The 11,119-nt window shown below is 44.5% G+C and overlaps 2 annotated features.

Annotated features, from left to right (window-relative positions):
- Positions 2,187-3,088: an enhancer, noted in NCBI's record as "H3K27ac hESC enhancer chr7:22839818-22840719 (GRCh37/hg19 assembly coordinates)". NCBI's record gives its function as "activates a minimal SCP1, AML or CMV promoter by ChIP-STARR-seq in primed H9 embryonic stem cells {active_cell/tissue: H9 hESC(primed)}" and the evidence as "EXISTENCE:reporter gene assay evidence [ECO:0000049][PMID:30033119]".
- Positions 3,990-4,890: an enhancer, noted in NCBI's record as "OCT4-NANOG-H3K27ac hESC enhancer chr7:22841621-22842521 (GRCh37/hg19 assembly coordinates)". NCBI's record gives its function as "activates a minimal SCP1, AML or CMV promoter by ChIP-STARR-seq in primed H9 embryonic stem cells {active_cell/tissue: H9 hESC(primed)}" and the evidence as "EXISTENCE:reporter gene assay evidence [ECO:0000049][PMID:30033119]".

Here is an 11,119-nt window from a genome sequence, read left to right on the forward strand (position 1 = left end):
TTCCATGTCCCTTTCTTTATTTTCTCATCTGGGCTATTCTTGAGGCAGGAGGAAAAAGAAGAGAAAGTGCTGCTGCGCACTTTGTTTTTTTCAGTTTTGAGTAAAACTCCAAGATTATTATTCACCTTTTAATATCCTTATAACTTTGCTTCTGACAGGAAAGAACAGCATCAGCTAAAATTTCCCATATTAGTTTATCTATGTCAACATCAAAGTTTTTAATACTTAATTTAAAAATCCCCCTGGACTGTTCAGCAGAGAAAAACCAAAATCACACATGTATTGAGTATCTACCATGTATGGTACACTAAGGATACCAGGTTCAAGAAGATCCTGGTCCCCATTGTGGTGTGGTGGTTACAGGGTATACTCAATTGGCAACATTCAACAAATCGCATGTGCATTTAAGATCTATTCATTGTGGCTGGGTGCGGTGGCTCATGCCTGTAATCTCAGCACTTTGGGAGGCTAAGGTGGGTGGATCACCTGAGGTCAGGAGTTTCAGACCAACCTGACCAACATGGTGAAACCCTGTCTTTACTAAAAATACAAAAATTAGCTGGGTGTGGTGGTGGACACCTGTAATCCCAGCTACTCAGGAGGCTGAGGCAGGAGAATTGCTTGAACCTGGGAGGCAGAGGTTGCAGTGAGCCGAGATCACTCCATTGTATTCCCGCCTGGGCGACAGAGCAAGACTCCATCTCAAAAAACAAAAACAGATCTGTTCATTGTTTTGCATGTAATAGACACAATAAAAATGTAGGCTATTTAAGGAAAGACCAGAAAAATAAATGTTTAGTGTTTACTACTGTTAACACATTAATTTCGAAGAAGTTAAATTTACGGCCAGGCACAGTGGCTCACACCTGTAATCCCAAAATGTTGGGAGGCTGAGGCGGGTAGATCACTTAGTTCAGGAGTTCAAGACCAGCCTGGGCAACATGGTGAAACTCAGTCTCTACAAAAAAATACAATAAATTAGCTAGACATGGTAACATACCCAGGATGCTTAGGTGGACAGAACTCCTGAGCCCAGGAGGTCGAAGCTGAACTGAGCCATGTTCATGCCACCACACTCCAGCCTGGGTGACAGAGTAAGACCCTGTCTCCAAAAAAAAGAGAGAGAGAGAGAAAGAAGTTAAATTTATGATATGAATTTGACTATTCTATGTGTATAATATAAGGCACTGAATATTGGGTAAAGTACATGGGCCCTTTCTATGGAACTTGAAATTTAGTTTTTGTAATTGTCTGTACAACATTTCTTCCACTGTATAAATTTTTTTTTTTTTTTTTTTTTTTTTTTTTTTTTTTTTTTTTTTTTTTTTTTAGCCGGAGTCTTGCTCTGTCACCCAGGCTGGAGTGCAGGTAATCTCAGCTCACTGCAACCTCCGCCTGCCAGGTTCAAGCAATTCTTCTGCCTCAGCCTCCTGGGATTAAAGGCACCTGCCACCACACAGGGCTAATTTTTGTATTTTTTTTAGAGACAGGGTTTCACCATGTTGGCCAGGCTGGTCTCAAACTCCTGGGCTCAAGTGATCCACCCGCCTTGCCCTCCTAAAGCGCTGGGATTACAGGCCCAAGCCACTGCGCCCAGCCTTCATCCATTGTATAAATTATTTTGAAAAGTAGCACATACCAGTAATAGGATCATAAGCATCTGGTTAGTGGACCTGGGTCCAAATCCGTTTTTCCTGTGCTTTGGGGGAAAATTACCCATGGCTGTTTCATTTGCAAAATAGCAATAATGCCCAGGGTTGTTGTGGGGACTAAATGAATAAACTGCCAAGTCATAGTAAACATTCTCTCTCCCATGTCACCTCCTCCCAGCATCCTTTGATGTCAAGTCCTTGGCCAGGACTGCAATTACCCATTATGACTAACAGTGAAAAATATTGGCCCTTTATGATTCATATTATGCCAATATCCAGTTCACAAATGCATTTTATACTTAATACGTATAATTCTGCAATCCATTCATTCATTTTCATTGAACACCTACCATGTGCCAGGACCTGTGCTAGGCTCTAAAATTACAGCAAAAGACAGTGTCCGTATTTATGGTGCTTACATTCTACAGGCAGGAGACAAGAAATATATATATGTATGTATGTATACACATATACATATGTTAAATTATAACTTTACATGTATATATCAGGTGGGTAAAACTTCTTTGAAGAAAAAGTGAGATTAGCTCCCTCTCCCTCTCCCCACAGTCTCCCTCTCCCCACGGTCTCCCTCTCCCTCTCTCTCTCTTTCCACGGTCTCCCTCTGATGCCGAGCCGAAGCTGGACTGTACTGCTGCCATCTCGGCTCACTGCAACCTCCCTGCCTGATTCTCCTGCCTCAGCCTGCCCAGTGCCTACGATTGCAGGCGCGCGCTGCCACGCCTGACTGGTTTTCGTATTTTTTTGGTGGAGACGGGGTTTCGCTGTGTTGGCTGGGCTGGTCTCCAGCTCCTAGCCGCGAGTGATCCGCCAGCCTCGGCCTCCGGAGGTGCCGGGATTGCAGACGGTGTCTGGTTCACTCAGTGCTCAATGGTGCCCAGGCGGGAGTGCAGTGGCGTGATCTCCACTCGCTACAACCTCCACCTCCCAGCCGCCTGCCTTGGCCTCCCAAAGTGCCGAGATTGCAGCCTCTGCCCGGCCGCCACCCCGTCTGGGAAGTGAGGAGCGTCTCTGCCTGGCCGCCTATTGTCTGGGACGTGAGGAGCCCCTCTGCCTGGCTGCCCAGTCTGGAAAGTGAGGAGTGTCTCTGCCCGGCCGCCCATCGTCTGAGATGTGGGGAGCGCCTTTGCCCCACCGCCCCGTCTGGGATGTGAGGAGCGCCTCTGCCCGGCCGCGACCCCGTCTGGGAGGTGAGGAGCGTCTCTGCCCAGCCGCCCCGTCTGAGAAGGGAGGAGACCCTCCGCCTGGCAACTGCCCCGTCTGAGAAGTGAGGAGCCCCTCCGCCCGGCAGCCGCCCCGTCTGAGAAGTGAGGAGCCCCTCCACCCGGCAGCCACCCCGTCTGGGAAGTGAGGAGCGTCTCCGCCCGGCAGCCACCCCGTCCGGGAGGGAGGTGAGGGGGTCAGCTCCCCACCCGGCCAGCAGCCCCGTCCGGGAGGGAGGTGGGGGGGTCAGCCCCCCGCCCGGCCAGCCGCCCAGTCCGGGAGGGAGGTGGGGGGGTCAGCCCCCCGCCCGGCCAGCCGCCCCGTCTGGGAGGGAGGTGGTGGGGGTCAGCCCCCCGCCTGGCCAGCCGCCTCGTCCGGGAGGTGAGGGGCGCCTCTGCCCGGCCGCCCCTACTGGGAAGTGAGGAGCCCCTCTGCCCGGCCACCACCCCGTCTGGGAGGTGTACCCAACAGCTCATTGAGAGCGGGCCATGATGACAATGGCGGTTTTGTGGAATAGAAAGGGGGCAAAGGTGGGGAAAAGATTGAGAAATCGGATGGTTGCCGTGTCTGTGTAGAAAGAAGTAGACATGGGAGACTTTTCATTTTGTTCTGTACTAAGAAAAATTCTTCTGCCTTGGGATCCTGTTGATCTGTGACCTTACCCCCAACCCTGTGCTCTCTGAAACATGTGCTGTGTCCACTCAGGGTTAAATGGATTAAGGGCAGTGCAAGATGTGCTTTGTTAAACAGATGCTTGAAGGCAGCATGCTCGTTAAGAGTCATCACCACTCCCTAATCTCAAGTACCCAGGGACACAAACACTGCGGAAGGCCGCAGGGTCCTCTGCCTAGGAAAACCAGAGACCTTTGTTCACTTGTTTATCTGCTGACCTTCCCTCCACTATTGTCCTATGACCCTGCCAAATCCCCCTCTGTGAGAAACACCCAAGAATGATCAATAAAAAAAAAAAAAAGAAAAAAGAAAAAGTGAGATTAAAGGAGAGAAGGATGGGGAGGCAATGATAGAGACAGGAGACAGCCAAGGGTCCCCAGCAAAACCACACCTTCAATCCTAAAACAGCCTGAAGGCTGAGGGACCGGACTGCTGGTCCCAGATGAAACCTACAACCCAGAGGGAGAACTGCCCCTGTTTGCCCACCCTTTCCTGACTAGTTCTTTCTGAATAATGCCTACTTGCACACTGGGAAAATGGGGCGGAGCCATAGGAAGTTCATGCCTTATGCCAGGGGAGGAGGCCGGTCTTTTCAGCTTTTGTGTGTGGTGGCCTGGTATTCAACCTGGGAGGTAGGGGCCCATTAGCAGGATGCCTTGTCACTTTGCTCAGTTTTTTTTTTTTTTTTTTCCTTTTCGCCAATGAATCCAGCCCTCCTCAGCCTTCAATGTGTCCATGTGCCTAATTTCTCCTGGTTGTGACACAAAAACCTGGATTTAGCTAAACTAAGGAGCAAAACTTCTACATCAGTTTGGTGGCACATCTGGGGATCAAGGAAGGGTGAGTAAGATGTGAACAAAAAAATATTTTTCCCTTTCATTTCTAAGCCTTTTCGTCCTTGGACTTCTGAGGGTAGAGGAAACTGCACACCACCCGCCCCCCAATAGCCGCAGGCATGCATGAGATGAATGGGCAAATAGCAGCTCCCCAGCCCCCTTCTCCTCCCCCTGGTGCTAAGGCGCATGGCCCAAGGGTGCCAGGAGGCAGACTGGCTTGCATTTGCCACCACACATCCACAGTGTCTTCCCCTCCCCTGGCCAGGGGTCCAGCTGTCAGACAGCAATTAAGTTAGTCTCCCTGTTAGAGGAACCTATTTGCATAAGAATAGGAGGTTCTTCTGCATACATCTTTTTTCTTCTCTCTACCCTGTCAGCAGTTAACACAGCCCTGCATTTAAGCTATTTTTTTTCTTTTCTCCACCAGGTCAGGAGTTAACTTTAATGCAAGACGATTTTTTTCTTTTTAGAAGACATTTTACGAGGCCAAGCCCCTAACTAACAGTTTATATTCTCTGTAAAGTTTTAATTATGAAAAAGGATTTGTGAGGTTGGTCTTAAGCTGTAGCCAATCTGGTGTGCTTTGCATGTCTTTCTGTATGGTCAGTAGCAAACTTTGCTGCAGGCTTCCATCTTGTTTTACATCCTTGGAAGTGTGACCTGTAACCACGTGGCAATGCTTTGTTTTAGCTTTTGCCGTTTTACAATGGTGGCCCAGGTTCAATCCTGGCTGAGGGAATGAGTCTTTTCTGGTTTGATATCTGCATTATTTTTATCATTTGTTGATTCTCTTTCCCTCCATGAACCACCTTGGATTTTCCTTTCTCTGAGCACCTGGGAGGTCACCTTTAGTAAAGTTTGAAAGCCAGAAATATTGGCCACTTGGCACAGCTAAAATTGGGTAACAAGGGATTTAAAAGGATTTTCTTAAAGAGCACTCAGCTTAATTAAAAGTGGATATCCAAGTTATAGGTATATTTAAAAGGCCGTTATATTTGTCTCTTCTTGGTTCTTGTTTTGCTGGAAAGGGGTTTAGGGTTTTATCTCAGTTGACTGAATTATTTCTTTCCATTTTGCCTTGCCACTCTTAATACACAAGAAGAGAGAGACCTCTGTTTTCCCCATGGATCCCTCTCAAAATCTGTTTTTGCCTTCCAGCTGTACCTGTTTATTAGACCCTAAAAACTGCATGTTTTCCTAGCCTTGCTCTTGAAGGGCTCCACCCAGAGGCAAATAATCCAATTAGGAGGTTGGCAAAAGGAAAAGTCTTATGGTTACTGGGTTTTCTTTGCCTGTCTGTGTAGTTATATATATGCTGTGTGTGATGTCTATTAAAAAGAGATCTAATTAATTTACTTAAAGAAGGATAAGTGCTTGGATCAAATATTTTTTAAAGGGAAGATAAAAGCTGTGGTAACTTTTAGTTCACATGACTTTAGTGTTTGAGAAATAAAAACAGCCTTAAAGATTATTGGTAAAATGCCATCAAAATGTAAATAGGTGGACTAAATTATGCAGATCAGATACTAGGTTTGCAAAAGGCTTTAAGGCTATAAACTGCTTTGTGGTTTTTGAGAACTGTTCGACTTGCCTGCTTCAAAACCAGTAAGGTCTGAGGACATATGGAATTAACCACACCCTAAATTATGCTAGAAGTCAAAACTTGGCTGTACCTAGTACATAATTAAAACAACTTGCTGGGCATGGTGGCTCATGCCTGTAATCCCAGCACTTTGGGAGGCCGAGGCGGGCAGATCACAAGGTCAGGAGATCGAGACCATCCTGGCTAACATGATGAGACCCCGTCTCTACTAAAAATACAAAAAATTAGCCAGGTGTGGTGGCGGGTGCCTGTAGTCCCAGCTACTCGGGAGGCTGAGGGAGGAGAATGGCGTGAACCCAGGAGGCAGAACTTGCAGTGAGCCAAGATCGTGCCACTGCACTCCAGCCTGGGCAACAGAGTGAGACTCTGTCTCAAAAAAAAAAAAACAAAAATAAAAAAAACTTACCAGGTTTTACATTAAAGTTTAAAAATGCTAGGAGTTACCATTGTAACATATAATGAAGACTACTGGAAATAGATTTGTGAGAAATACATGTGAGGTGTATAAGAACAGTAAAATACGTTTTTAATAAAAGATTATAGGAAGGTGTGGAAATGTAAAATTCTTGCCTAAGGTTAAACGATTGTTTTGAATTAGATAAAATAAAGCTAAAAGTTCAAACAAGTTGTAAAAGGAATGTAAAAATTAATCTTGCAAAAGAAATTCTGTGTGTGAACACATTGGCTAAATTCAAATATGGCTTTTCTGTAAATTAAACATTGAAATAAAAGCACAAGGTACTGAGCACCAATCTGCTCTTTAGTAAAATTTGTAAAGAGTTATAAAAGGTTTCTGCTTTTAAATTTCTTTTTTTTTTTTTTGAGATGAAGTCTCACTCTGTCACCCTGGCTGGAATGCAGTGCCACAATCTCGGCTCACTGCAACCTCTGCCTCCTGCGTTCAAACGATTCTCCCGCCTCAGCCTCCTGAGTAGCTGGGATTATAGGCACCCACCACCACGCCTGGCTAATTTTTGTATTTTTAGTAGAGACATGGTCTCATCATGTTGGCCAGGCTGGTCTTGAACTCCTGACCTCAAGGGATCCACCTGCCTTGGCCTCCCAAAGTGCTGAGATTACAGACTTGAGCCACCGTGACCTTCCTGCTTTTACATTTCTGAGTCATCATTTTGGCAAAATAAATAAGTTATGGTAATCTGGAATTCTATTTCATAACATCAAGTGTTTTAAACTTCTAACATTTAACAAGCTTCCCAAAATCAAACTTCTATTTCAAAATTGTCTTTCCTGACACCTGCCTTTTGGATGCTATAGAGGGCCCCTGGAACATCCAGAAGAGAGGTAAACAGAATTACCGGACATGTCTAGGTACATGGGATTGCCAAAATGTTGTTTAATCTTCATATATTAATATTCACTAACCTATATTACCTATATTAATATAGGTTATTAATATTAATAGATAATTAATATTAATATGTAATTAATATTAATAACCTATATTAATATAGGTTTAGTGAATATTAATATACGTTCCAAAATTGTATGGGATTTCTAAAATTCTAATGCCTGAGTATATGCTATCAATCACAAGGTGGTTAAATTATTGTAAACCACAGAAATAAACCAAATTTCTTTGTCAATCATGTTTCTGACTGTAACTACCCTGGACATTTTGTTATTTATAGATGATTGTTGTTTTTATCATCTTCAGAAGATGGTGTGTAATCAGCTATAGAACTTTAACAGGTGCTCTCAAATGCAGGTTTCTGATATCTTTGAAGATTGTGACACTGGAATAAAGGAAAACATACAGGACTCATGAAGAGCTGACATGTTCGTGAATATCAAGCAAAACAAGAGTTAATGGAATGGACTGAACTAATAGAAAACTGAAATAATCTTTTTTACTTTTGCTTGGAACACTGCTGATTCTCATTTTGTTTTTCAGACTCAAGGAAGCTTATTTTGAACTATTTATGGCCTTTAATAATTGAGTAAGGTAAACTCCTGTGAACAAAATTTGGAGCATCTCTCTCTCTCTCTCTCTCTCTCTCTCTCTCTCTCTGCCTGGCTTCTCCAGAATTTAGAAACTAGTTGTGAGTATTCTTAACTTATGGCAATATAGTTATTTGCATCAGTGCAATAAGAATCCCTTTTCTTTTGCAACATGACACAATTGTAGAAACTGGTTGTCTTACCAAGGCTTTGACTGGAAGGGTGTGCTTCCCTTTAAGGAGTGAAGCTCAACTGGTAGAGCCAATAAAAGCCCCTTGGGAAAACTGGCCTCACACCTTGTCTACACAGTCCCTGTACAGGGTTCCTGACTTGTGATAAGTAAAGAATGTCACTTTCTGACAGGCCCAAGAGCTCCAACTTTATCTCAGGACCTTAAGAGGAGAGGATCACCCAACTCACAGGTATTTGATGGTACAAACCCATGGCTAGGCTCGGTTTTAGAAAGATTGAAATTTCTTGTGGATCAGAGTTCCATCAAGGCCAATCTACCAGGCCTATGTAAAAATAATTATTTTTGCTGTACTTTATGCAAACAATCAAGCCAAGTATAAGACTAAAGTCTATTCTGCAAACAACTCAGTCCTATCATGGTTTGTTTTTAACAGAAATGAGGACTGGAAACAGAGAAATTATGTTTCAAAACTTATCATACATTTGTCATTAACTTCTAGATTCATTCGTTGTTTTCAAGTTTTTGCCTACATTTTAGACTGACCCTGCTAATTCCTGTGAACCATCCAGTATCTCCAACTATAGCTCAGAAGGAACAAAATGGCATGGATAATCTGGATCAATATTTTAACACTAGCAATTATCCTGCAGACCCTGCGGGGTGATGGGAATAAATAGAGCGCCCATCAGCCGGAGGTTTCCTTTTGGGGAAAGACCAAGGGAGCTAACCACAGCCAAGCCACATGCACCCAAATCTTAGCAAGCATAACTACAGCCACCAGTTATCAGGGTGTGTCACAATACATCCTTTTCTCTCCCTTGTTAGAGGAGCACTCAATTCCACAGCTTCACCTTAGTATTCAGCTTATGATAAGGAGTCCATGCAATGCCCCTAAGACACATTTTTGTCCCAAACTCAATTCCAAGCTTCGGGTCAAAGTCCTAGGAAAGAAAACTGGATCTGAGGGATCCAGAGGCAGACAATAACAAAAGTTAAAAGACACAGTGCAGGTAAGTGTGACTGATTCCTGTCAACTAAGCCAAGCTTCCCATTTCACAGATAAAGTTCATGCTAGTATCCATGGCATAAATGATGTCTAGGGAATTCAAAGGCTACTGACAGCACAGGAGATAGGGCATACATGGGTAAGAGTGAATATTCCCAGCCCCTAGGCCCCCGTTAACATGGATGGAAGCCACTTTAGCACCCATGGGCAACACACTGTCACAGTCACTGGGACTCAGGGATACAAGGATGGAGGAAAGGAAGAGGAGAGGAACACCTCACTTTCCCTCATGTACTGTGGGTATTTGCTAGGAAGAGAAGGGAACCTGGGATGCCTCGCTCTCTCCTTTCTAAATGAGTAGCCATTCATCTTCAGTCTGTATCCCTTTCAAATGCATCCTGAACCCCTGGGACTCCTTTAGAAAAAACACCTTTTTTTTTTTCCTCCTCTGTTATTTCTTCACAGATACGTAATCGTATCTCTGCACTATGGGACACTTCCCTTGGCTACATCCTCTAAACTGGGAAAAGTTAATTTCCCAAACCTTAAACTGGTTGGCTTAGGATTGGGCTTGGGGAAGGGAACCCAGAAGCCTCACATGCCAGCAAAAGGGTAAAGTTTTTGTTATTGTTGTTGTTTTTATCAGCCAGGCTTTTGGCTTCCCTATCCCTATGCAAACTGATAAAAGGCCTCAGGATTTTTGAGCTGTCCTTACCCTCCCCTTGTTTTGTTTTGATACCTGTTTTCTAATAACCCAGTTTGTCTCTTCTTGCCTTCAGGACATCAAACTCGAAACGGTCATACAACCAGAGCCTCAGACAATGGCCCCTTTTGCCAGAGACCCTTAGATAGGCCTCTGTGGGAGTTCTGACTGCTGTCTTCCCAAAACAGCACCCCCTGCCAGAAGGAAGCAGTTAAGATTGATATTTGTCCTCATCCTTATGCTTATCTAATGGCAATTAGATGTACTTCTTTAGAGAAGAGCGTGATAGAGGAGACAGTCAACAGTCACTGGCAAACCTCACCTTCAAGCCTAAAACAGCTCGAAGGCTGAGGGACTGGACTGCTGGTCCCAGATGAAACCCTCGACCCTCAGGGAGAACTGCCCGTTTGCCCACCCTTTCCCAACTGACTCTTTCTGAATAATGCCCACATGCACACTGGGGGAACGGGGTGGAGCCATGGGAAGTTCTCACCCTGTGCAGTGGGGAGGAGCCTGGTCTCTTCAGCCAATGTCTGTGGTGGCCTGCTATTCAATCTGCGAGGTGGGTCGGGGGGTTCCCTCTGTTAGCAGGACCCCCTCTCACTTTGCTGAGTTTTTTTTTTTTCCTTCTCACCCAATAAATTCAGCCCTCCTCACCCTTCAATGTGTCTGTGTGCCTAATTTCTCCTGGTCATGACACAAGAACCTGGATTTAGCTAACTAAGGAGCAAAAATTCTGCATCCGCAACACAGGTTTAGGGTCTTCTATTTTAAAGGATCAGGGAAGCCCTCTAACAAGATGACATTTAGGCAGACTGGAATAGAGGAAGCCAACCATATAGATATCTGGGAGGAGAGAGTTCTAGCAGAGAACAGGTAGTACAGACTACAAGGTGAGACTATACTTGGACTTTCTCTGGATAGGAACAAAACAGAAAGAGTACAAGCAAATGTGGGTGATGAATCATAGGCAACAAAGAGACCAAAGGTGCAGAAGGCCAGATGACATTGGGTCTTGTAGGTCACAGAAAATAAGTACTTGGGATTTCATTCCCAGTGAGATGGGAAATCACTGGAAAACTTTGATCAGGATGTGATGTGATCTTATTTTTAAAAGGATCACTCTGGATGTTCCATTGAGAGCACACTGTAATGCACAGGTGAAAGCAAGAAGGCTACTGCAAGTCTGGGGAAGTTCTCAAACTTGACTTGCATCAGAAGCACCTGTGATTTGTTAAATCACAGATTAATCATACAAAAACCTGTACACAATT

The sequence above is a fragment of the Homo sapiens genome, chromosome 7 (genome assembly GCF_000001405.40).
Source record: "Homo sapiens chromosome 7, GRCh38.p14 Primary Assembly".
Taxonomy (NCBI): Eukaryota; Metazoa; Chordata; class Mammalia; order Primates; family Hominidae; genus Homo; species Homo sapiens.